The following is a 26,879-nucleotide window of genomic DNA, read 5'->3' as shown; positions in this document are numbered from 1 at the left end:
ACCTCAGGGGATCCACCCACCTTGGTCACCATGCCTGGCCTCCATCTGTAAAGGATTTTTAAGAGTGGGAGTCTACTAATCTCAATAGGTATGAGCAGAACTTGCTGTCCTGGTTCTTTTCCCCTGAAAGAAAACTGTGGCTTGTTTTTCAATTTTTAAAAAAATAATAATGAGTCTGGTGTGTGAAGAAAGCCAATATGGGGCTGGGGTCTTCCCTGGATGACCCTTATAAGCCAAAGGTGGGATACAAGTGGAAGAGGAGACAGGGATCCTAGGGTTAGGAGGCTGCGGGGAACAGTGGTGAGAATGGCTAAAGAACAGAAAGCAAAACGAAAAATCAAATAGAAAAGGTTTCATAAGGGCCCAAAGACCTGGATGTTTACACTAATAAAATTAATTATGCCATTGTCCATGTCAGTTGTTTGAATATGGGGGCTGAGGGGACAGACACATTTTCTGTAAGATTATTCTAAGGGTAGCATGACCTGACCACATACAATCTATTGTCCAAACTGTTATTATTAATAATTATGCTTACACAACAGTCATAAACCAAGAATGTCCCAAGTAAACTAGAATGTAAAGTTTACTTTTACATTTAGAATTTACCTTTAGAATGGCTAGGAGTTACTTCAGCAGCCAATCCTTTTTTTCTTTATTTCTAAGACAGGATCTCGCTCTGTCACTCAGGCTGGAGTTTAGTGGTACAGTCTTGGCTCACTGAAACCTCTACCTTCCAAGCTGAAGCAATTCTACTGCCTCTGCCTCCAGAGTAGCTGGGGTTATAGGCATCCACCACCACGGCTGGCTAATTTTTGTATTTTTTGTGGAGACAGGATTTCGCCGTGTTGGCCAGGCTAGTCCGGAACTCCTGACTTCAAGTGATCCACCCGCCTCAGCCTCCCAAAGTGCTGATATTACAGGCATGAGCCACTGCATCCAGCCCCAATCCTTTCTTTATTCATGCAGTACCCACGGTAACCAAAATGATGAAAATCACAGTGAACATTCCTGCAAATGGGCAGGGCTTTGTGAGAACCATCTCACTAGTTAACTCCAGAGAGAGGCAGATGCAAACACAGAAAAATTATGACAATGTCTACCACATCATTCTCGGAGGAGAGAAGATAATAATATTTCCATAATTTGAAACTTAGAGATGTCCGAGAATGTACTCGAAGTTTTCACTCCAGAACACACATTATTGACCATTACTACACTATTGCCTCTTGGCAATACCTTCTCTCGTCTATTTATGTAAGTTCTATGCTCACACTGAGTGCTTTCTAGGGAGCTTTCCATGACTGCCCCACTTCATTTTTATTGCTCCAGACTTTGAAACCTTATTACACCTACAGTTAGCACCATGCGATTCACATGTAATAATCTCATCTCCCTGGAAGAAAAGGTAGGAGGTTTTATTTTGTGCCTAATGCCATTCTCCAAACACAAAGGTCTTTACAAATATCTGTATCTATAGATAGATGGATATAGATATAGCTATCACACACACACACAATAAAGCAGAACGGTTTCATATATTAAATCTTGGTGAACTAGGCTGAGTGTGGTGGCTCATGCCTGTAATCCCAGCTTTTTAGGAGGCCGAGGGAGGATCACTTGAGCACAAGAGTTCCAGACTAGGCTGGACAACACTTCCAGACCCCATCTCTACAAAAAATTAAAAAAATTAGCCAGGTGTGTGGCTAGTTTTGGGAAGACAACTCACATTTTAGGCTAAAGTTAGACATTCGTTTATTTGTTTTGAGTACTCCTAGCTACTGAGGAGGCTGAGGTGGGAGGATTGCCTGAGCCTAGGAGTTGTTGGCTGCAGTGAACTATGATTGAGTCACTTTACTCCAGCTTGAGTGACAAAGTGAGATCCTGTCTTAAATAAAAGAAAAACTTGGTGAACTTTTTCCATTTCTCTGCATCTTGCTAGCGGAAGATAAGCCCCTATATCTTGGCAACTTCCTATGCTTTAACTCCCAAAGTGGAATTTGTGTTACTCATATGCTATATGTACTAAAAAAAGTTTTTATTTTTTAATTTTAGGAAGTCTGTTTGTTATGATTAAAATCACAGACCTGAGCTCATTTTAGAGAGACCTATCTTCATTTTGGTACAAGTTATTTTATTCGACACCACCTATTTGTAAATGTTTTTAAGTAATAATAAAAAGAAGTGAGGTCTATCAAAAATGACAAAATTAAGAACTACATCTCAAGCATAAATAACCTGAATTTATCAACTTACATGATTGTAATGACAAATTAACTAATAGGACCAAGTAGAGAATTGTTTAGATATTATCCAATAAATAACACAACAAAAGAGTTTTTCCAAAGATTTATTGAAGCAGAACCAAGTTGGTTGGATACTTGCTGGAAAAAAAAAAGCAGTTTTAATGGTATTCAAAATACCTTTTAAAAAGTATTCTAGCACAAGATTTTTCTGTAAACTAGATTATGTTGTAAACTTTTTTCTAAATCTTGTAGGAGTGTCGGTTGTTAAGAACTAGAGCTTATTCCTATTCCAAATCTATCTTGCGCTCCTGAAAAACTGCAGAAAGGCACTTGAAAGCTGTTTCTTTAAGATATGGATTTCTTTTTTATTCTTGCTGGTAATATATTGCTGCACTGAGTGTGTGCAATTTTTATTCAAGGTCATCGTGATGCTGAGAAGTTTCGTTGATAACCTGTTTAAAAAAAAAAACCAAAATAAATATAATGCCACATGCCAAAGACTAAATTATCCTATATATCACGGCAAATAAAAATCCTGCTAAATATATGTAATTTATTGTGCAAATCAGAAGGTTATGTTGCTTCTGCATGAGTGAAAACTAGAAGGGGCAGACACACAAGACCCTCTTCCACTACAGGCAATATAAGGATCCAGTGGAATGTTGTAACTTACAAAAAGAAATTTCTTAAAAAACTGTGTTTATAAAAGATGGTATAATAGTTGTACACAATACAGCCAAGTTTAAAAGCAATTAAGACATATTAAAATGTGCAGCAGGTACATTTTAAATTTATGTGCAAGGGAAGATTTCATGATGACTACAATAAATTGCAACTATTTCTTTCCTGGCATAGGGAGGTAATAAGAAACTAAATGATCGTATGGCACATGCTTGTATTATATAGATGGGTTTAGGAATCTATAAAGTATGGAGGTAGGAAGACACCATATGTCCAGGATCAAAACATTCCTCATATTGAGGTAGTCTAGTGAAGCTGTTTCATGTAGCTGCTTTAGGAAGTGGTTTAAGGAAGCTTACTCCCACTTCAAATTAAGCACCAAAGCAAATCACTAATTCTGGAGCACAGGAAGACTGCTATCTCAACTTCACATCCAGGAGCCAAATAATTAGTTGGCTGTGTGTACTGCTGGAAGAAGAAGCCTATTCTTTTTTTAGTAGGCATGAATGAAACCTGAACCTCTCAAATTAGCCAGCTGTATCTGAGATTCAGATTCACTGATTTTAAAATATATCAACTCCTGTCTGAGATTACCCTATTTTTTCCTTAAAAGATACCAACCTGTCCATCTCTAGTTTCAACCGTCTTAATCAGAAGTGTCCTTTTTGAGTGGGTATCAACCAGAGGGAGTGAATCCAGATTAGTTTCTAAATAAACAAACAGGCCAAAAATGAGTAAAAACGAGTTTTTTCTTGGAAAAACCAAGTAACCATTTTACTGAAACAATTATGATTTGTGGGGGAGAGGCAATTGTGTAAAGTACTACTCGCCAAATAATTTTAGGGTAGTCTCTGTTTGGAAACCCAGGCCCTGACACTCTTGAGCATCAGGATGAGATAGTACTTGCAGCAGGAAGAAGGAAAAAGGAGTTTGCATTTAACTTAAAGCATAGAATGCAAGAGTGTACTTGGGTTCGAAAATTATAGATGTTTTATAGAGTTTTCTCTTATATGGCATTTTTTCAGATATCCTAAAAAAAATGAATGCTTTGACATAAACACAGTGGTTACAAGCAGCTGACGTTTTTCCTAAAGGGAAATAAAATGCTTACCCCTCAGGTTCAGGGAGGAAAAGTTTGGAAGAGGCAGAGAAATCCTATAAACAGATGAAGAGAAACAGTAAAATTGTTGGCAAATAACTTCAACCACTGGGAACAAATTAACACACTTTTTGTTTTCGTCACGTAAGAAAACGTACTGTTTTAAATCATAAACTAGAGATTTGTCTCAGAAACATTTTCCCATGACTGGTCTTGTTAGTACATTTAAAATATGTTACTACAAGCATTTTCTCCACAGGAGCATGAACAGGAGTTAGGAGTGGAGGCTTTGACAGAGTTATGGGTTCAAATCCCAGCTCTGCTGTTGATTAACCCTTTTTCAGCAAGTCACTTACTCTCTCTCAATTCAAATTCCTCCTCTACAAAAAGTGGAAAGCAGTTACCTCAAAGAAACTTTCTAAAGATTAAATGTGACACTGCTTAGAGCCCAGTGGCACAGGGCCTAACAAATGGTCACCATTAGTTCACGCATCCAAGTCTGAGTTCCCTACCTGCTCTCCTCGCCTTCCAGCAGCTTCCTGTAGGTGGCAATCTCAATGTCAAGGGCCATCTTAACATTGAGCAGGTCTTGGTATTCACGAAGGTGACGAGCCATTTCCTCCTTCATATTCTGAATCTCATCCTGCAGGCGGCCAATAGTGTCTTGGTAGTTAGCAGCTTCAACGGCAAAGTTCTCTTCCATTTCACGCATCTGGCGTTCCAGGGACTCATTCTGCAGGGGGTGAGAAAGATGTCTGGTGTTATTTCTCAGAAAAACCCAGCTGTTCCCAGAACCATTTACAGACCTTCTGCAATAATTTCCATTAGCGGCAAATGGCGACCACTCTAATTTTAGGTGGAGAATGCGAGTACCAAGTCCTTCATATTAGAAGCAATGATATAGGCAAGCTAAAACCTTCAAGAGTTCCATGAAGTCCCTTTTGAGTCTGTCTTGATAACTCATTTTCTTTGCATTATGATATACATTTTTACTCACTCAACATTTTGTTCAGGTATCATCATGAGCCTAGTCAGCAGAATGGGTCATTATTTTCCCTCTTTTACTGCAGGGTTGGTACTCACGGTTCCTTTAAGGGCATCCACTTCACAGGTGAGGGACTGCACCTGTCTCCGGTACTCAGTGGACTCCTGCTTTGCCTGGCGCAGGGCGTCATTGTTCCGGTTGGCAGCCTCAGAGAGGTCAGCAAACTGTTGGGAAGAAAACAGAAATGTAGATTGCTCACATTCAAGTCTTTTGACTCTCTTAGAAAAAAAAAATCATATTTCTCACTGAATGTCTTCCAGTATAGGTTTAAATTTCTGTTTTGAAAGCCAGGGAAAGAGCAGTGGAGTACTGACATTAGTATTTTCAGAGTTCACTCTACAGTGCTCATTTCAACACAGTGGAGGTCAAAGGTATGGCATTGGGGTTTACTTGGAGGCAAGGTTAGGGGGAAGAGAGTCTGCTATTCTGAAGGAGGTGATGTGGCCAGGCGTGGTGGCGCATGCCTGTAATCCCAACATTTTGGGAGGCTGAGGAGGGTGGATCACCTGAGGTCAGGAGTTTGAGAGAAGCCTGGTCAACATGGTGAAACCCCATCTCTACTAAAAATACAAAAATTAGCCGGGCATGGTGGTGCTTGCCTGTGGTTCCAGCTCTTAGGGGGCTGAGGCAGGAGAATCACTTGAACCTGGGAGGCGGAGGTTGCAGTGTGCCAAGATGTTGCCACTGCACTCCAGCCTGGGCAGTAGAGCAAGACTCTGTCTCATAAATAAATAAGAAAATAAATAAATAAATAAAGGAGGTGATGTGAGTGGTGGGGAGGCTGTGGTGGCAAACACAATATGAGCAAGAAGTCAAAGCCAGCTTTGCATTGGAGCTAGAGGATATTTAGGAATCACACACAGGTATGGGGTTTTGAGAACACAATGCTTTTCTTTGGTTGAAGCCGCACTGATTTGTTTCCTACCTTGGATTTGTACCATTCTTCTGCCTCCTGCAGGTTCTTGGCAGCCACACTTTCATATTGCTGACGTACGTCACGCAGGGCAGCCGTGAGGTCAGGCTTGGAAACATCCACATCGATTTGGACATGCTGTTCCTGAATCTGAGCCTGCAGCTCCTGGATTTCCTGCAAAAAGAACAGACAGACGGTCAGCTCTGCCAACCGTGGGGGCTGCCTTACCCTCATTCATTCCCCGAAAGTCACTCCACTAACCTCTTCGTGGAGTTTCTTCAAAAAGGCAATCTCTTCTTGCAAAGATTCCACTTTGCGTTCAAGGTCAAGACGTGCCAGAGACGCATTGTCAACATCCTATTTTGAACAGAGAAAAGACAGGACATGGAGGATGTAAAAGTGTATGGCTTATCTCATTTATTTGTCTTAGATTAACCATCTGAACCTAGTCTCCTTACTATAGAAAAGCCGTTGACACATTTTATGACCCTGGAATAGGTTTATAAATCATTCAGTGCTATAATATGCTGTGCTTTCTCCTGCTCACTAATATATTTTAATTGTGACTGCTTGTGTTTTACTCAAGGTGGTGATCAGACAATTTTAAAATAAATAAATGTCCACACACATGGTAAACTGCACTCAATCATGACTGAATCCACATTTTACCAGTGATATTTTAAAATTACTTTTTAAGGCTGGTCATGGTGGCTTATGCCTGTAATCCCAGCACTTTGGGAGGCTGAGACGGGTGGATCACTTGAGGTCAGGAGTTCGAGACCAGCCTAGCCAACATGGCGAAACCCCGTCTCTACCAAAAATACAAAAATTAGCTGGGTGTGGTGGCACATGCCTGTAGTCCCAGCTACTTGGGAGGTTGAGGCAGGAGAATTTCTTCAACCCAGGAGGCAGAGGTTGCAGTGAGCCAACATAGTGCCACTGCACTCCAGCCTGGGCAACAGAGTGACACTCTGTCTCAAAAAATAAAGTAATTCATTTAATTTAATTACTTTTTAAATCTAGAAAATCTATGCCACAACATTTTTAAGATTTGTTTTGTAATTTCATGGAATAACATGATGATAGAGGTGGACAAATTTTCACAACTTCATGTACACTTGAGTACATGGAGAACAGAAACTTGTGCTTCAAGAGTTTTAGCTTTTCTTCTCCACTCAAATCTTTTGAAACTTATCCTTAGGCTCCAAAGCAAATATGTAGTCATCTGGCATCCATTGTACAAGGCTAGATTTATATTCAATAACCCAATTCAGGATATGCATGCCAAAGATTCAGTTCAGGAAAAAATGGAAAAGAAATGTAACTCTGAACTGTATTTGCTTGGCTTTCTCTGGTGGATTTTTCTTCTAAAACTCCTTTGACTCATCCTGTAAAGGCATGTCTTTTTCACTTGCCACTGTATCAGTTCAGTTAGCCTGTTTCAGAATGACTGGTCAAGCTTGCAAAGAATGAAACTACATAAAGGATTTTTGCTGATTCAGCCGTCCTTCTATATTTCCATTTAAAAAGCTCAGCATTCCAAATCAGAATATGTAATCTTGCAACTAAGATTTTATTTCCTCTCAAAAGGATGCGTGAGGATTGCTTATCTTGTCAGCAATTATATTTGGAGTTCATAGCCTTACGGTCTTAAACTGTTGAGACTTTTCTATCACCTTAGTGGAAAAATGAATGAAGAGTGGGTGACAAAAAGATCAGACTTGATGAAAACATTGATTTTTACTTGTTAAGCCCTGAAAAATACATAAAAGATATTTTACTAACCTCCAAAGAAAGATCAATGTGGTATTCTATCACATTGAAGAGAATGAGGAATTTTGCTTAATCTCGAAACAGAGGATCTTTTGTATTGATGTTGTTTTATGTTAACTCACTACACTGCAGAAAACATGACAGGTATGATAATCAAAAATGCTCAAGGACTAAAATGAACCACACACATTGCTGTGGTTAAATTAATTTGGTAAATGTATTTCAGTTTCAAAATGTTATACTACACTATTCATCTGAGAGTGCTTTGCAGTTAATCCCAGTAAATATTCCAGGGAATACAACTATAAACTATAATGGGGATCTTCTGGCTTTTGGATTCCAATTTTAAGTTAAAAATTCTGTAAGTCCATCTAATTTTGGTGAAAAAAAAAAAAAACACGCACAAAAACCCTTTAGTTAAAATTCAGTTTTTCAGCCTTGGGTTTATTACTGTTATTATTTTTTATGGCAAGAGTGCTAAAGAACACAAGAACCCAATCAAGAAAGGACTTTTAAAATGTGAGGTATGCTTGTAGCTTTAAAAACTTTTTACATTACCTACTTCTCAAGTCTGGGCCAGATATTAGATAACGGATGTTAGCAAATACTTGTGTCCAATTAGAACCGTGCTTACATCATTACATATTCAGTAAGAATGTAGCCTGTTGCAAAGCTTCCCTGGGAATACAAAGACTCCTATTATTTCTGTCCAGAGCCACCACATTTGCCAGAATGTCTGTATCTACATTCCATAGTGAAGCCCATAGAAACCATTAATACCCCTTAGCCAAGGGGACAGATGGCTCCTTTTCACCCTTATTAGATCACAAAATAGTTGTGCATAGTGATACTTCCATCGAACTTTAATGACACAATAGAATTTGCAAAGAAGAAAAGAAACTTGCTGGCTCCATTCCAGTTGGAAACTAAGTTTTCTTATCTTCCAACACGTTTTCCATTTTAAACTGCAGGGCATAATTGCGCTTTTTGTGGCCTTGTAAAAATTAAGCAACTTGACTTTGGCAAACCACAATCTAAAATTGTAACCGTTCGAAACCAGAAGGTCAATGTGTTGCAAAACTGTGCAACATTTGGGAAACAAAGTAAAAAGTTAAAAGATTTTTCTTTATGTCCCAAGGAACTGCTTAGAAATCATTCAAGGATCGCTTGAACCCGGGAGGCGGAGGATGCAGTGAGCCAAGATCTCGCCACTGCACTCCAGCCTGGGCGACAGAGTAAGACTCCGTCTCAAAAAAAAAAAAAAAATCGCTCAAGGGGTTTTATTAATATTTTTCTAATCATGAGAAGCTCCAACCTGTGGTCTTCCCGCCACTAGAGGGCTTTACGCGCAGCCCTGAAGTTTTGCACTTTTTAGACGTGAGTTAAGCAACTTTTAGAATTGCTCGTGGGTTGTGTTGGGTGGGGTCAGGCGGCTGCGAGTGGGAAGAGAGTCTACAAACCTGTCTGAAAGATTGCAGGGTGTTTTCGGCTTCCTCTCTCTGAAGCATCTCCTCCTGCAATCTGAAACAGTTGCGCATTAACCAAAGGGGAACGAGGAAACCGCCAGGGGCGGGGCGGCCACACCCAAACACCACGTATTCGCTCTGCGCCTCCAGAGCAGCTGCGCCACCTCCGCGCAACTAGCGCCTGCAGCTTTCAGACCTGCTGCCCTCGGCAGGTTTCAGCGGGACTTCGGGCACCGCGCAGAGGGGCAATCACGGTGGCCGCACAGACCTACAGGACAGCCCCGCCATCCCCGCCCCCGAGGGACCATCCCTTTGTCTCGCTCCCTCCACCGCCTTCCCCTCCTTCCTTCTCCCGCCCGGTGATTGGCAGCCTGCCAGAAGGGGCAGGAAACTTTCTGAAAGTTTGGAGGACTGGCTCTCATTGTGCCCAAGGGCCTTCAACTGCACACAAAGTGGTAGTTTTAAGAAATCTGTAACTTGAAACGGAGCGTCCTTGGGCAATGTGTGGGGACAGAGGAGGAAATGCGAACTGCAAGGTCTGGGTTCTGGGCGGGGCTGCGCCACCACAGCCACAGCCCCGCTCTCCGCTGTCTCCCTGGCAGGCCTCCCCCCGGCCACATCCCCAAGGGCGTGGCAGCTCTCGCGGGGGCCGGGGGGGCGTTCCCCTCTCCCTCCAGCCCCCTCCCGAGGCCCAGCTACTTGCATGGGCGCAGCCTTACTTCTCCCGGAGGCGCATGATGTCCTCGGCCAGGTTGTCGCGCTCCACCTCGACGCGGGCTTTGTCGTTGGTTAGCTGGTCCACCTGCCGGCGCAGCTCCCGCATCTCCTCCTCGTAGAGGTCCCCCAGGCGCGACTTGCCTTGGCCCTTGAGCTGCTCGAGCTCGGCCAGCAGGATCTTATTCTGCTGCTCCAGGAAGCGCACCTTGTCGATGTAGTTGGCGAAGCGGTCATTCAGCTCCTGCAGCTCCACCTTCTCGTTGGTGCGGGTGTTCTTGAACTCGGTGTTGATGGCGTCGGCCAGCGAGAAGTCCACCGAGTCCTGCAGGAGCCGCACCCCGGGCACGCTGCTCCGCAGGCGCACGGCAGAGGAGCGCGTGGCATACACGCCGCCCGGGGACGAGGCGTAGAGGCTGCGGCTGGTGCTGGGGCGCAGCGCGCTGCCCAGGCTGTAGGTGCGGGTGGACGTAGTCACGTAGCTCCGGCTGGAGCTCGGCCGGCTCGCGGTGCCCGGGCCGCCGAACATCCTGCGGTAGGAGGACGAGGACACGGACCTGGTGGACATGGCTGCGGAGGGTGGCGATGGCCTGGGCGGCGGCGGTGGCGCGGACTGGCTCCCGGAGAAGAGGCGAACGAGGGCGCGGTGGGTGTGGGTGGTGGGAGCGCGGCTGCGTCTCTGGCGCGGGGACCTCGGAGCGAGAGTGGCAGAGGACTGGACCCCGCCGAGGGCGCTGTTTTTATAACCCCGTTAGGAAAGAGGGTCCCCTCCCACTGCCATCCCAGCCGCGGAGCGCGCCAGCCAATAGGGACCTAGCGAGAAGCGGGGAGGGTGGGCGGGTGGGGTGGGGGCGCCCTCGAGCCTTCCTGCTCCGGGGCCTGGGACTGGGCATGGTCCCGTTACTTCAGCGCTGGGCTGGGACTTTTGGGGGCTTTCCGGATGATAGTCTGAGCTGGGCTCACCCTGGGGTGCTGAAAAAGGCGGGGTCGCGCGGTGAGGGGGGGGTCCGCCTGGGACTGAACCAGAGGGGTCCGGTGGCACCACGCCAAAGGGGCGTGGGAGGAGGTGCGCGGCGGTCTCGGGGCTGCGGTCAGGCGGGGAGACCCGCGGGCAAAGGAGCGGGAAGAGGAAAGAGTAAGGAATCCCTCAGATCTGAAGTCGCGGAGAAAGAAACAAAGAGCGCCTGAGATTGGAACGCGGGGTGGGGGCGCGCACAGCGCAGGAACGCAGGGCTCAGGCCTCGCCGCAGCCTCGCGCGCCGCCCGCTTGGAAAGGGGGGCTGCTCCGGCCCGCGCCTCTGTCCATCGACTTGCCTTGGCGGAGAGATGTTGGGGGGAGGGGAGGTTCTGTCGAGGGACCTAACGGGCTCAGTCCAGCTTCGGACGGCGGGAGTTGCGAGACGGCGGTGGCAGAGGAAAGCCCGAGGGAGAGGGGTGGGGTCGCTTAGTCACCGGCGGTGACTCACCGCGCCCTGCTGTCCCGCCGATTGAGGGCTCCTAGCGGTTTAGGGGAAACCGTTAGACCAGATTGATTCAAGTCTCAGCGGGCTCCGCGCGCGCTGCTAGTTCTCAGTGCTACCAACTTACAGCTGGGCCATCGCCTTGCTGTGTGCGGTCGGGCCCTGTGGGGGACAAGAGCGCCCCTAAGTTTTTAATAACTCGCTAAAGCCTGTCTTTGCTCGAATGTGCGGACTTTTTGTTAGCAAGAAACTTCTGCAGCCTTTGGAGAGGCGCCATACGTGGGCCTCCCAGATCACGATTGCACCGGGAAGGTTTTTCTTGCAGAGTCCCCGCCCCCGTCCCTCTGGTCTCCTCTCGCTCTTCCCCCTCCCCCCATGAAACCACACCCAACTTTTTAAACAAGATCTGAAAATTCTGGGTGAAAGAGGAAACTCGACGTCCGTAGTTTCAAAATAGAACTCAGTGATCAGTGGTTTTTACCCTGGTGGAAGTCATTAAAGGTATAATATGAGCCAGTTAAAGAATTAATTAGGTGTTGCTTAAAAACCCCAATTTGATTAATGAGTTCAAATGAAAGGCAATTATGTAACACAAATGACAGAATCTTTGGCGGCAATAGATTTATGTGTTAATTTTAGGACAGCAATGCACAGTACAGGGTTCACGGTGATTTGTCTGGGAAATGCCATAGGTCCTGTTTTCCAAAAGAATTCGTGCAATTGACCTTGGGGTGAGGGGGATAAAACTGTCTACGCAGCAAAAAACTTCGTGTCCAAGACATGGAGGGAGTGTTCAGATTCGGTCACCTTAACCTTTCTAGGGAAATCACTCAATTCAAGGGCTGTTGTTTCAATATTAGTAACGAGCAGAGCTGAGTACTTACCCGCCAAGGGAGATAAAAGGAGACTATGTAAATCAGTCTTCTCGTGATTTAGTAGCAATTGAAAAGGCACAGGTTTTTTTGAGTATTTAGATTTATGGTGTACTGAAAGGATTAACTGCAGAACCACTGTAAAATTGATTCTGCAGTGGATAGGAGAAAAAAAAGTATTTCTCTCTTTTTTTTTGGTGGCGGCAGGGGGTACTGCAGGTTACTTGGTATTTAAGAAACATAATTTAGAGGTAAATGAAGAGCGTATTCTGACTTCTTTGGACAAGCCTCTTTTAGGCAATATTTTGTTTACCTTATCCCAGTTCGTTCTTGCAAATGGTGCTTGCCAAGGTGGAATTACAGGACTCTCTACTGCCCAGCTCGCCTGCTGGGGCTTTCTTTTATTCTCTCTTTCACTGGGAGGCTGCAGGTCATTCCCCAAGAGCATTCCTGGGGCTGGGTGCCCTGGAGGACAAGCCTATGCTCTGAGTTACATCTTGCTTTCTGAGAGCCCTTTATTCAAGCCACTGCTCAGCAAATGCCACCATTGTGAGTGTGCCTGGAACCCTTAGAATGAGAAAAGTGATCTCCCTATGGGAGGAAGAGAGTGTGGAACTCACTTCTACGTGCAGTGCCGATCCCAGGGCAATGCGACGCTTGCTGACTGACTCACTATGGAAAAGGAGGACAAGGCATTGGCGAGGTGTGGCACTGTGCCCTGCTGGTGCCCATAGCCGATTCCTCAGGGCTGCGGTGATGTCTCCTGGAATGGGCACTGGTCCTCTTCATCATCTCAGGGATAGGTAGCTCCTCCTTCCAACCTGTCCCCATTCTGAAGTCTCTGGGCTGTGATAGGCTGCTCTCTTGTCACAGACATATGTTTGTTTGATGCATATAGAATGTATAAAAGTGTAGGTGTTCTGTAGTCCCAGCACTTTGGGAGGCCAAAGCAGGAGGATTGCTTGAGATCAGGAGTTTGAGACCAGCTTAGGCAACATATATATATGAAACCAAAAAAAGCCAGGCGTGATGGTGCACACCTGTGGTCCCAGCTACTTGGGAGACTAAGGCAGGGGGATTGCTTGAGCCTGGGAAATTGAGGCTGCAGTAGGCTGTGCACACCACTGCACTCCACCCTGTGCAACAGAGTGAGAACCTGTCTCAAAATAAAGTATATGTATGTACTACACACACATATACATACGCACATATACAGCGTTCAATGTGTTTTTCCTATTAGAAAATGCCATTGTTTTTGGTGGGCTGCAAGAGAAGTGAAAGTTGCAGAAACACTTTCATTCATTCATGTAGAATTCATGAGACTTAAGAATTCATTTCATTCTGAGATAAGATATACAGTGCCTCAATCAATGGGTGATAGTTTTCAGTCAGGGAGATCAATGAATCTGAACTCACATCCTTGAGTGAGACAACTCAGCCTGCTCTCTATGCTACTGTGTTCTTAGGTATCTTTTGGGTACACAGACATAGCTTTCCCGGGTTTTGTGTTTATTTTTTAATTGCTATGAAAACCTATCTGAGAAGTATTTTCAAGTGCTGGACTGGGAAGCTGCTTTCAACACAGCATGATGCAAGTTGCATATAAATAAAGACGTGGTGGTATAATTCATAGGCCAGGCATAAACACTACCACATCTAAATTACCAACAGTGATTTTGGAATTTGCAAGCTGTCATGATGTCAGTTGAATTGGGTGACTTAAACTGACGGACCAGCCAGCCGTGTGGACAGAAGCTTAGTGGCCTATGGAGGCTTTGGGAAAGCTGGCTAGCCATGCCAAGAGAACAGCATCTAGCAGGACTGTTTGGATGGAATGTTAGAAAGAAGAAGGAGGGTACACTGAGAGCATGAAAACCATAGCAAAACCTAAAATCCATGGAAATACAGGTAATAATAATAAATAGTATAATAGGTAATGTCGATGCCAACTGAATGACAGACACTGTGTATATATTTAATTTAACTTGATGCACTCACACCCTCCTGCAAGATAGACTTGATCATCCATTTCACTAATGAGGAGCCTAAGATGCAGGCTAGCAATTTTCTTGTGGTTGTATGACTAGCAGGGGTGGGAAGAAGGGGACAAGAATTTGAATCGAGGCCTTTCTGACTCTAAATGCACTTCTCTTTTCTGTTTGCCTTGATAACAAAATTTTGCTTACTATCAACCAGTTCAATTCACAAATATTAAGTGCTGGACTTATCATTTAGGGACCTACTGTGTTCCAGGAACTGAAGAGATGGGATGATTAACACAGATCTTGCTGCGAAGGGGCATATTTTTAGAGGAATTTGGCAGACAGCTATAACACCATGTTTACGATGTAAAATGATGTAAAAAACAAAATCAAATGACGTAACAGTGATCATACTATGTAAGAAGGGAGATTTGTTTTCACCTGCATTCTAAAACATTACTTTCATTAGTGAGTTAAAAATTTTCATTTAGATTCCATTTTGCCTCTTAGGAGGAATCACATTCAAGACTGGGTTTAGCTCGTCTCACGCCCTAAAGCCCATGAACCACCATCGCTTCCCCTGCCAGCTTCCCTGTCTATTCAGGGCAATACAGCAAAACAACAAGATTGGAAACTTTCATCATTGCCACTTCCTAACTAACTCTTCCATCTCAGATCCAATGGGTATCATGCCCCGCTCTTCCTGGATCCACTCCTCTGTTACGTTGCTGTCACTCAGATCCAAGCCATTTCATACCTCCTTCCTGCAATACTGCAATTGGCTTCCGTTCCTCCATGCTTTCTTGCTTTCTTTCTTTTCTTTTTTTTTTTTTTTTTGAGACGGGGTCTCGCTCTGTCCCCCGGGGCTGCAGTGCAGTGGCGCGATCTCGGCTCACTGCAAGCTCCGCTTCCCAGGTTCACGCCATTCTCCTGCCTCAGCCTTCCCAGTAGCTGGGACCAAAGGCGCCCGCCACCAAGCCCGGCTAAGTTTTTGTATTTTTTTAGTAGAGACGGGGTTTCACCGTGTTAGCCAGGATGGTCTCAATCTCCTGACCTCGTGATCCACCCGCCTTGGCCTCCCGAAGTGCTGGGATTACAGGTGTGAGCCGCTGCGCCCGGCCCCTCCATGCTTTCTTTTCTGCCACCAATGCATCTATCTTCAAGCCATCACCCCTTTTTCTTTAAAACTTATATATATATATATAGAGAGAGAGAGAGAGAGAGAGAGAGACAAAGGCTTGCTCTGTTGCCTAGGCTGGAGTGCGGTGGCGCAGTCATAGCTCACTGCAGCCTCTTAACTCTTGAGCTCAAGTATTCCTACTGCCTCAGCCTCCCTAGAAGCTGGGAGTGCCATCCATGCCCAGCTAACTTTTTATTTTTTGTAGAGCCAGGGTCTTGCTATGTTGCCCAAGCTGGTCTTGAACTCCTGGGCTCAAGCAATCCTCCAGCACTGGCCTCCCAAAATGTTGGGATTAAATGTGTGAGCCTCCACATTTGGCCAAAAACTTCCTTCTTTAAACTTCTTGGCAGGAATTGCTCATTTCCTCACTGGAATGTAATCTCCCTAAGGGCAGGTAGGAATTTTTCTCTCTTTTGTTGACTATTGTATTTCCAGTGGCTAGAGAAAAGCCAGGCACATCTGTCGAATATATACATTAATACATGAGTAGTTCATAGAAGGAAGAAATATAGGTGTGGGGCTAATATTTACTGGTGCTTATTATGTTTAAGCATTGTGCTAGTCACTTTAGACATGACTGCATTTAATCTTCACAAGGTATCGTGATACACAACTTTTATTCTTTTACTCCAAACATACTTATTGAGTATTTGCCATGTGCCGGGCAGTCTGGTAGACACTGGGGAAGGGACCAAAGCAGGTATGGCCCAAAGCCTCTTGGAACATAGTGTTGAGTCTGCGTATATGTATATGATACAGAGAGACAATACTCGTAAAGGAACAAACAAAATGATTGCAACTGGTGATAAAGACTATGAGGGAAACAGAAATTTTCCTGCAGAGGAGGTTGAGGATCATAGTTAACTAGTGGCCTTTGGAAGTTATGTCAAGTATATATATCTATCCTCATTTTCCACTGTTCCCCACAAGCAGCAATTTCAGTAGAACCCTAAGCTCCTTCTTCTTCCATGAATATAGTACATTTCCCCCACCCTCAGGTCTTTCCTCATATTCCATTTAACAGATAGATGTATTCATATTTTTTTGCACTGCCTGCAATGTTTCTTAGTATATTTCAGTAAGTAAGGTGCTTTTTGTGCCTCTAGGGATCTCATAGCTTTGTATAAGGATTAGAAAGCAGGTAAAGAGTTGGAATACATAGCAGAATGTGGTAAGTGAGTGCTGTAGCACAGATAGGATAAAATGCTAAAGAGCATAGGTGGAGAAATAATCATTGCAGCGCTATTCACAATAACAAAGACATGGAATCAACTCAGGTGCCCATTAACAGTGGATTGGATAAAGAAAACATGGTACATATACACTGTAGAATATTACATAAGCATTAAAAAGAATGAAATCATGTCCTTTGTAGCAACACGGATACAAGTAGAAACCATAAACCTAAGCAAATTAATGCAGAAACAGAAAACGAAATACTGCATGTTCTCACTTCTAAGTGGGAGCTAAACATTGAGTATACACAGACACAAAGATGGAAACAGTAAACACTAGGGATTCCCAAAGTGGGAAGGGAGGGAGGAGGCAAGGATTGAAAGACCACCTATCGAGTACTATGGTCACTATTTGGGCAACGATATCATTAGAAGCCCAAACCTCAGTATCACACAACATACCTATGTAACAAACTTGCACATGTACCCCCTAAATCTAAATTAAAAAAAAAAACTATAATACTATACCTAAAAATAAGTTAAATTTTGTTGAGAAAAAAAATGATCCTATCTACTTGGGGGAGAACAGAAAATGTCATTAGAAAAGATAGTATTTGAAGAATAAGTACAATTTCTACAGCTTATCATGGCAAAGAAAGGTTGCTCTAGTGCTGACCAAACAGTATAAGCAAAAACTGGGTGGGTGGCAGAGTGCTGAGGACATTTAGGGAACAGGAATAATCCCAGGGTTGCTGGATTATGGAGTATTTGTAGGGGAGAAAGGGAACTGAAAGTTAACGTGGGGCCATGCGTTGGATGAGTAAATGCCAGGAAAAGGAGTTGATAATTAATGTGGTGGGCAGAGGGAATGCATTGTGAATTTCAACTAGGAGAAAGACATGCTTGTAGCTGTATTTTAGGGGTGGAGAATGAGGCTGATTTGAGGTCTGCTTGAGGTAGATCAAGTGGATGGTAAAGGGAGCCTGACGCGGAGATGATTTAAGGAATTGTGATGTTTAAGGGCTAGGGGATAAGAAAAATCGAGTGGGCTCTGAGCCTTGTGAACAGGATAATTAAAAGAATAGATGCGGCTGGGCGCAGTGGCTCACGCCTGTAATCCCAGCACTTTGGGAGACCCAGGCGGGTGGATCATGAGTTCAAGAGATGGAGACCATCCTGGTTAACATCGTGAAACCCTGTCTCTACTAAAAATACAAAAATTAGCTGGGCCTGGTGGTGCCCGCCTGTAGTCCCAGCTACTAGGGAGGTTGGAGCAGGAGAATCACTTGAACCCAGGAGGCGGAGGTTGCAGTGAGCCGAGATTGTGCCCCTGTACTCCAGCCTGGCGACAGAATGAGGCTCCATCTCAAAAAAAAAAAAAAAAAAAAAAAGAAGAAAAAAGAAAGAATAGATGCATTCCAGACAGAAATAATTAGTTGGAAAGTTAATTTGAGTTGAAAGACGGTTAATTCAGGTCCCTTAACCTGGAAATATCTTCCCTTCTCTAGTCTATATAAATTATAGTCTCATGAAGGTGAGCTATAATTGGATAGTGTGGTTTTACATTATGCAGCAGTGGTCTCCAGCCTTTTTGGCACCAGGGACCGATTCCATGGAAGACAATTTTTCCATGGACCAGGCAGGGGGATGGTTTCAGGATGATTCAAACATTTCTATTATTATTACATTGTAATATATAATGAAATAATTATACAACTCACCATAATGTAAAATCAGTGGGAGCCCTGAGCTGGTTTTCCTGCAACTATATGGTCCCATCTGGGGATGATGGGAGACAATGACGGATCATCAGGCGTTATGTTCTCGTAAAGAGCGCACAACCTGGATCCCTGGTATGCACAGTTCACAGTGGGGTTCACGCTCCTACAAGAATCTAATACCCACCGACCACTATCAGACCATAGCCCAGGGTCTACAGCATTTCTAAGCACTTCTAATCTCTTCCCTTAAAGGAATAAAGTAGATGGTCTTTTATTGTCATTTAGCTGCTTTGAGTGTGTTAGTCTTGTTCCCATAGCTAGTATAAAATCATGAACATCACGATTCTCTAAAACAGTGTTTAAAACATCAGAAGGGAAAGAAAAACCTTAAAGACACTTTCTGGGAGGTATCTTTGAACATTTGAGGGGGAAAACATAGCTAACAATTCCCTGTAGACTATAAGTGATTTTTTAACTTCATCAATGTCTAATTCACAGTCTATGACAGAGGAAAGAGAAGGTGGTAAGTATGTAGGGGGAACACAAGAGTTTAATTAACAAATGGAGGAGAAATCTAGTGCAAAAATAAGTTCCAGCTGATGTTGGACAAAGAATTAAAGCCAGATTTTCAGTATTAGTTCACTTGATCAAAAAACAGTAACAACCAAAAACAAACAAAAAACCCATCAATCCAGTTATAAAAACCTCATGTCACTTGAAAGAGCCCTGAATGACATCATCCCAGTTTAGTTACTGGCTGAGTTAGACTACCATAAGAAAACTAGCAGGTATTTGCCCAGTGGCCTATAATGTTGTTTTTCCTTTTTTTTTTTTTTTTTTTTTTTTTTTTGTAGACAGAAAAAGATTATGCCACAGCTAGAAAATTTGCCAAGTGCAATTGGCGTCTTGGGAATTTACTCTGCCTACTTTGAGGAGGTCATGTAGTTCCCCAGTGGTAGAATTTTTTTTCTCAAGATATTTAGGTAAGGGACCTAATAATAATTTTGTTTAATAGCACAATTTTCTTTTTTAACTTTTATTTTAGGTTCAAGGGTACATGTGCAGGTTTGTTATGTAGGTAAATTCGTGTCATGTGGGTTTGTTGTATGGCTGATTTCATCACTCAGGTATTAAGCTTAGTATCCAATAGTTATTTTTTCTTATCTTCTCCCTCCTCCCACCCTCCACCCTCAAGTAGGCCCCAGTGTCTATTGTTCCCCTCTTTGTGTCCATGTGTTCTCATCTTACCTCCCACTTATAAGTGACAACATGCAGTATTTGCTTTTCTGTTCCTGCATTAGTTTGCTAAGGATGATGGTCTCCAGCTGCATCCATGTTCCTGCAAAGGACATGATCTCTTTTTTTTTTTTTTTTTTTGAGACAGAGTCTCACTGTCTCCCAGGTTGGAGTACAGTGGCACGATCTTGGCTGACTGCAACCTCTGCCTCCCAGGTTCAAGCAATTCTCCTGCCTCAGCCTCCCAAGTAGCTGGGATTAGAGGTGCATGCCACCATGCCTGGCTAATTTTTGTGTTTTAGTAGAGACGGGGTTTCATCATATTGGCCAGGCTGGTCTCGAACTCCTGACCTCAGGTGATCTGCCCACCTTGGCCTCCCAAAGTGCTGGGATTACAGGCGTGAGCCACCGTGCCTGGCTGATGTTCTTTTTCATGGTTGCATTGTATTCCATGGTGTATATGTACCACATTTTCCTTAGCCAGTCTCCTATTGATGTGCATATCAGTTTATTAATTTTCTTTTAAAGAACAGATAAATTTATAATGTAAATTTTTATTTGCCTTTATGGTAACCTGCGACATTGGAAGGGGATTATTGACCATCTATATAGTCATAATCTCTTTCCTCTAAATCTGCAAAATATAATGGAACTCCATCTTATGTATTTCAAAACTGATTAATGAATTGACTGATATTTTCAAAAATGGACAATTGGGAGATACTTTAACTCTGGCATATCACATTCACTCAGCCAGTGAAATGATTTTCTTCAGTATATTAAATATTATATTTAATTGTGAATATGTTTGATAAACTCAGAGTTTAAAATAAACCTCTCAAGCTTTGGTTTTTGTGTATAGTGACAAAGATCAGTGTGATTTGCAGAGGTTGGAAATGAAAATCAAAGACAAATTCTAGAAAAAAAATAACACAAAGTAACCCTAAATGAAGCCATGTAGCAAATGGAAGGAAATATAAAATGACATAATGACAATATGCAAGGATGAAAAGATAAGAAAATTCATTAACATTACAATGAGATATAAGTAAAGAAAGACCATTCAGAGTTAACTAGCAGAATAAAGGATTTGGCAGCCCTCTTTGTAATTCTACCATGACGATTTCCAAACCACTGAATAAGGTTTTGTATTTCTAATTAGCTAAGTACTAGAAATATGTTCTCTAATGTGACTCATATGGATATGTGGCATATGGACAAAAAAATTCTGTGGTACTCAAGCTTAATATAGATTAAGTACATGTTGTTTGAGACATAAATTATGAGAAGTTTTTCCGATACAATATTGTAATTTACTTGAATGGCATCTCTAGAACTTCAGACAGGTGTGATAGAATACGCTGCAGAGATATTTATGTGTTTGATCAGGGTTTTTCTTTTTCTTTTTTTAAGACAGAGTCTCACTCTGTTGCCCAGGCTGGAGTGCAGTGGCACTATCTCAGCTCCAACCTCTGCCTCCCAAGTTCAGGCGATTCTCCTGCCTCAGCCTCCCAAATAGCTGGGATTACAAGTGCCCACCACTACGCCCGGCTAATGTTGTATTTTTAGTAGAGATGAGGTTTCACCATGTTGGCCAGGCTGGTCTCGAACTCCTAACCTCCAGTGATCCACCCACCTCAGCCTCCCAAAGTTTTGTAATTACGGGCGTGAGCCACCACACCAGGCCAGGGTTTTTCCTTTGCTAACTCTAGGCTAGCTTTCACAGTCCTTGACCAATACTAGGTCCTTGAGCGAACCCCAAACAATCATCACCAGGCACACTTTGATATGATTGCTAAAACTGGAGTCTGACCTGGATAGAAAGGCTAATGATAACCGTAATGATTGCTTTCATATATTGAGTGCCTATGACATATGAAAGCAATCATTATGTACTGCCCATGGGTTAACTTATTTAATCCTCACGACAGCCCGGTTTGACATATGAAGAAACTGAGGCACAGAGAAGGTAAGTAGCTTACTCAAGTTTATCTAGCCAAGAAGTGGCAGACCTGAACACAGGACTTCTGGCTCCAGTCCCCGAACTCTAAACCTCACCGTGCTGTAGTACTTTATATGCCATAGTAATTTTGTGCTACCATTGGAGATGTCCCCAAATCTCTTTGGCATTGTTATCATGATGTTTGTCTCTTTGGTCTACTTTTTTCCTATTCTGATGCAGCAACAGGACCCATTTTGATTCAGAGAATATGGTGCCCTTAATGAATCATCAAGAAGTCCATAGACAGTTTTAGGGGTTTTCTGTGGAGATCTCATTTCTTAATTCTGACTCAACCCACCAGAATGAATGGATAATTATGGCATTTGAATCTTGCATATGATTAAGTGAATAAAAATGCTTTGCCCCATTTGCTAGTAGAAAAGAAATAAAACCACATTTTTGGAATGCAATACTTATATCAGTTAAAAACAACTTCTCCCTATACTTACCATCTATTAGTTTGATTTTTAGGGAGATTTATTAACATTTTAGTCCTTCATGGTAGTACTATTGTGCAATCCAAGAATTATGGGGGAGTTTTTGGAAATGAGAGGAGGCTCAGGGAATTATAGGCAACCAAGATTCTCAAGGCCAAACCCAACAGCGATACTGATAATACATGTGTGCTTACTATCCAGTTTTTAAATTTTCTCATGCAATACTAATCTCATTGCTTTTGTATGTCAGATTTTAAAATAGAGCATGCTTAATATACTTCAGATGTCTGCAAGGGGAACAGCAGCAAATACCACAGTCCCATGGTAAATATAAGGGAAAAACAAAGGCATATATGTGTTAACAAGTCTGATGAATGGCTCATGCCTGTAATCGCAGCACTTTGGGAGGCCGAGGTGAGAGGATCATGAGGTCAGGTGTTCGAGACCAGCCTGGCCAACATGGTGAAACCCCGTCTCTACTAAAAATACAAAAATTAGCAGGGCGTGGTGGCAGGCACCTGTAATCCCAGTTACTCGGGAGGCTGAGGCAGGAGAGTCACTTGAAACCAGAAGGTGGAGGTTGCAGTGAGCTGAGGTCACACCACTGCACTCCAGCCTGGGCAACAAGAGCAAAACTCCATCTCAACAGCAACAACAACATCAATAACAGCAAAGCCTGATGAAATCCTAACTCAGCAGTGGCGCAATTACTTCATAGATTGGATTATTTTGAAAAGAAGCAGCAAACCCCATTTGGTGGATGTATTTTGAGTCTTTTTTTTTTTTCTGAGACAGGAGCTTGCAATACCACCCAGGCTAGAATACAGTGACTCCATCACAGCTCACTGTAGCCTCGACCTCCTGGGCTCAGGCAATCCTCTTACCTCAGCCTCTTGAGCAGCTGGGACTACAGGCACATGCCACCATGCCCAGATAATTTTCTTAAAATATATTTTGTAGAGACAGGGTTTTGCCGTGTTGTCAGGCTAGTCGCAAGCTCCCGAGCTCAAGTGACCCCTCCTTGGCCTACCCAAAGTGCTGGGATTACAGGCATCAGCCACTGCGCCTGCGCGGCCTGCGTTTTGAATCTTTAGGTGAGCAGGCTCCCTGCTAGGTGCTAAGGACGCAGAAATGAATACCACCCCTCCCTTCCTCTCAGAGGGCTCCCAATCTGCTCCTCTTTTCTCTGTTAAATATTTTGCCTTTGAGTCTTGCATAATGATGTGGCCACATTGAGACCTAGTTGAACAGTTTCACAATAACTCCCTTAAGTCAGAGGGCCTTGGTGAAATAACATTGACTTTTACTCTGAAATCCATGGAAATACAAAATTTACTGTTTTGTTCTCCTTGATAAAATATAGCATAATAACTAGTTGCTGGGTTACTACCTAAAACACAGGCCCCAAACTACAGCCAGGAAGGGCAGTTAGCAATTAAGTAAAGGAAATGACTATGACTAGTGGGTCTGAAACCCAACACACTGCCCATATCCTTCTTAGCATAGGGAGGCATTGATGTTACTTAGGCAACTTTTATCACTAAGGAAGTAGTTTTGGTGACTCATGCTCATAACAGAATGACTTATTTCAAGACCTGAGTGTTCAGTAACCTTACCATTATGCTTCTGTTTTCTTTTTTTTTGGACTCAGACAGCAAAGCTCCCTTTGGATGACATAGATTTATTACTTAGTAGTATATTATGTATTGGCTGTCCCACATTTTGAAATTTAATGGACTCGTGGTGATCAGAATAAAAGGTCAGTATTTCCTACAATATGTTGATACGTTAAAGGCAGAACTAACACCTCATTTTCTAAGCAGAACTATTATCTTATTAAATGTCTAAGTTGACATTTCTTGCCAATTTTTTTTTACTTAATGTAACAGTGCTGTTTCAAATACTAGTCATTATTTAATAACTAAAATGGAATGCTGAAGAATTTTATGCTATGACATAAAATGCCGTATTTTTTCCCCAAATATATGAAAAATGGAATTAAAATCTCCACTGAGTGTTGCTATTACAAAAGGAAGAAATCCTAAGGAAATTCATTGGCTAGGTTCTCGGTTCAGATTTACAGCCTACCTGCTTGATGGCCCAACAGCATTTATTTCTTGACAATTGACATTTTTTTCTGTGTTAAAAATAGCTGAGAAGTTGTAGAAAAATTAGTTAATTAAAAGAGTTATAGGTTGCTAATGTGTTTGGAGAGCTTTATGGAAGAACTTACTGTTGACAGAAAAAGCAAGCCACAAGCCAAGGACCTGAGCTGGCTTCTGGGGTAGTGCAGGAGCAACTTGGCTTGGGTTCCAGGGTTTGTCGGGAGCCTTGGAGATGCCAGCTTCCAGTGTGGTCAGCCAAGGATTTACCTGAATCACTAGTATACCTTTTGTCCTAATTCCAGAAATCATGCCATAAGTCTCAAAATTTGGACAGTGTTACTTGAGCTGTTTTTATTTTGCTTTCAATTGAGTCCTTTTCTGGTTTTAATTTTGTAGCTGGAACAGCTTGAAAAAGGCAATGAGTCATGACAAATATTTCTTTTCTTCTCAATATAGAAGCCTTCGATGTGAGGCCCAGGCATTGAGTACCATGTGTGCGATTCACAAGCCTTGGCATCTGAACAATTTTTTGGAAGGATCCATCAGGACAACACGTCGGGGGTGTACTAGTGAAGTGATTTTCCAAATGTGCTACTCAGACCTGTAGCATCAGCATCACCGGATAATTTGTTAGAAATTCCAACTGTTAGGCCCCACTTTAGACCAACTGAATGTGAAACTCTGGGAGTACGTGGGGCCCAGCAATTTGTGTTTTTACAAGACTTACCAGGTGATTCTGAGAACCACTGTGCTAGTGAATTGTTCCTGTCTGTGGCCACGTAGAATAAGAAAACCATAGGGTTGGAAAATGGGGAAACTGGTGAGTGTTCGCTTATGAGGAAATGAAGAATAGATAGAAAAGAATTAGTTAACTTTTGGAATTCAAAAGAGAAGCAGTTTGTAAAAGCCAGGAATTTGATTTGAAGGACTAATTGCTTGCAGAATCTTTGCTTTCTCAGAGAGGGGCAATCCAGATCACTAGGTTACCGTGAAATATGTTGGTATGGCTCTAAAATTCTAGAATAATCTCTCTAGTGAGAAAAGGCATACCTTTCCATATTAGGACAAAACTTCAAATCAGGTTTGTAAAATCCTATAAGATTATTGTATCCCATTGCCATGGCCAACTTGTTTGTCTCTGGAGATCCCAGTTTCTACATCTGAAAACCATATGCATTCCTGCTCACCAGGAATTATCTCGCTGAATGAAGCAAGAGATTCAGGATGTGTAAGAGAATTTATGAAGCATTTGGATTACCAAGAAATGTGAAGTATAAAGATCAAGAATGATTATTACAAACACTGATGGTAAAGAGGTGTTTCGAAGTCGATGCAAAAAATGAGTTGCTTATTTCAGTCTCTCTTTGATATATCTGCCTTTTTAGTGCTGACTCTATCATGTATTCACTATTTGATTTTCAGTGAATCACATTTTTTAAAGCTTTTAATCTGTTTCCTCAAAAAATATATTTTTTAAAAATATTTACTCAGGATTGTTGTGAGAATAAAATTGATTCGATTGATATTTCAAAAAAGAAATATATTTTTAAAAAATAAAGCAATACCATTTTTGGATATGCTAGTGCTCTGACTGTTATTTTATGTCTGGGTTGAGGAATCCTAAAGGACTGTTGACATAATGACATCATCCAGGGGTTTGGAATAAGAGTATACATCAGCAAGTTTTCTGATTACAAAAAGTAGCTATGTTTACTTTTCTGTTAATTCTCCTTCAGTGGAATGTTTCAATTTTCTCATGAGATGGGGGAGATCCATTTTTTTGAGAGCTCTGTTTTATTAAAGAAAGCAAGTCTGGTGGCTCATGCCTATAATTTTAGCACTTCAAGATGCTGAAGTGGGAGGATCACCTGAGCTCAGGAATTCAAGACCAGCCTGGGCAACATAGCAAAAACCTATCTCTATGAAAAATTTTTAAAAATTAGCTGGGCATGGTGTTGCATGCCTGTAGTACCAGTCACTCAGGAGGCTGAGGTGGGAGGATCACTTAAGCCCTGGAGGACTAGGCTGCAGTGAGCAGTAAGCTATGATCATGCCACTGCACTCCGGTCTGGAAGACAGAGTTTGTTTAAAAAAAAAGGCAAATTTGATACTTTGTGTCCTTTGAACTGAGAAAATACATTTCATTCATTCTTTCAGGGAAAAAAAGTGGGACTCTGGAGTCAGAGTCCCCAAGGTAAATTTCTCAGCTCCTATGCTTAGTAATTATGCTACCTTGGAAGAGCCTCATTTTCTTGATATAAAAAATGGAGGTGATAATAACAGTTGTATGTGCATGAAATGAGAAATGTATATAAAATACATAATCGATTGTCTGGCCTAGAGTAAATCCTCAATAAGTGTTGATGGTTGGTGATGATATTATTAAACTATGGCATAAAGAGGAGAAAAAAGAACCTGTGTCCAAAAACCAAGGGCAGGAAGGAATAAGAAGACAAGAGAGCAGTTGATAAACGATCATTTTACAAATGAAAATTTGTGCAGCTCCTGTGACTTTTCCAGTCATTTATTAAAACCAAACCATTCTTTGATCACTTCTAAGGAGAAAAGTGATCATAGTAATTTACAACGCTTACATGTATGTAACTTTCAAAATTTCAATCTTGCCCAAGAGTTAATATCCTCCCTCCCATGGCTTGACTGTGCCTTAGGAAAGGGAAGTCCTGGGTTTCTCACTCTCCCTACTTAGGTGCCTCCCTTCCTCTTCCCTCATTTTGCTAACTAAGGTTTCTTGCCACTGCAGGATTAGAGCTC

The 26,879-nt window shown here is 42.5% G+C and overlaps 1 protein-coding gene and 1 long non-coding RNA gene across 3 annotated transcripts, besides 4 other annotated features; one reads left to right on the top strand and one right to left on the bottom strand.

The window, feature by feature from the left end:
- Window positions 864-1,158: a silencer, noted in NCBI's record as "tiled region #14556; K562 Repressive non-DNase unmatched - State 18:Pol2". NCBI's record gives its function as "represses a minimal TATA promoter and a strong SV40 promoter by Sharpr-MPRA in K562 cells {active_cell/tissue: K562}" and the evidence as "EXISTENCE:reporter gene assay evidence [ECO:0000049][PMID:27701403]".
- On the bottom strand, window positions 2,335-11,687 carry VIM (vimentin). The gene is made up of 10 exons (NM_003380.5): window positions 11,404-11,687; window positions 9,943-10,652; window positions 9,218-9,278; window positions 6,246-6,341; window positions 5,997-6,158; window positions 5,110-5,235; window positions 4,539-4,759; window positions 4,039-4,082; window positions 3,549-3,634; window positions 2,335-2,698 (listed from the first exon to the last, which is right to left on the bottom strand). Exons 2-10 carry the CDS (start codon window positions 10,503-10,505, stop codon window positions 2,657-2,659), a joined length of 1,401 nt encoding a protein of 466 aa, NP_003371.2. The 5' UTR covers window positions 10,506-10,652; window positions 11,404-11,687; the 3' UTR covers window positions 2,335-2,656.
- Window positions 9,779-9,958: a silencer, noted in NCBI's record as "silent region_2182". NCBI's record gives its function as "represses an Ori minimal core promoter by ATAC-STARR-seq in GM12878 lymphoblastoid cells {active_cell/tissue: GM12878}" and the evidence as "EXISTENCE:reporter gene assay evidence [ECO:0000049][PMID:35858748]".
- Window positions 9,943-25,689, top strand: VIM-AS1 (VIM antisense RNA 1). 2 transcript variants are annotated; one of them, NR_108060.1, is made up of 4 exons: window positions 13,030-13,072; window positions 22,253-22,326; window positions 23,654-23,761; window positions 24,564-25,689. It is a non-coding gene; the product is annotated as a VIM antisense RNA 1 (long non-coding RNA). The 2 variants fall into 2 exon arrangements; NR_108061.1 differs by lacking the exons at window positions 13,030-13,072; window positions 22,253-22,326 and adding an exon at window positions 9,943-10,583.
- Window positions 10,269-10,358: an enhancer, noted in NCBI's record as "active region_3108". NCBI's record gives its function as "activates an Ori minimal core promoter by ATAC-STARR-seq in GM12878 lymphoblastoid cells {active_cell/tissue: GM12878}" and the evidence as "EXISTENCE:reporter gene assay evidence [ECO:0000049][PMID:35858748]".
- Window positions 12,994-13,208: a silencer, noted in NCBI's record as "fragment chr10:17268719-17268933 (GRCh37/hg19 assembly coordinates)". NCBI's record gives its function as "represses an EF-1alpha promoter that drives an FKBP-Casp9 reporter gene in an ReSE screen in K562 erythroleukemia cells {active_cell/tissue: K562}" and the evidence as "EXISTENCE:reporter gene assay evidence [ECO:0000049][PMID:32094911]".
- Window positions 25,690-26,879: the final 1,190 nt, after the last annotated feature.

Source organism: Homo sapiens, chromosome 10 (genome assembly GCF_000001405.40).
Source record: "Homo sapiens chromosome 10, GRCh38.p14 Primary Assembly".
NCBI lineage: Eukaryota > Metazoa > Chordata > Mammalia > Primates > Hominidae > Homo > Homo sapiens.
Note: the sequence above shows the minus strand (reverse complement) of the source record. Positions and strands in the feature narration are given on the sequence as shown.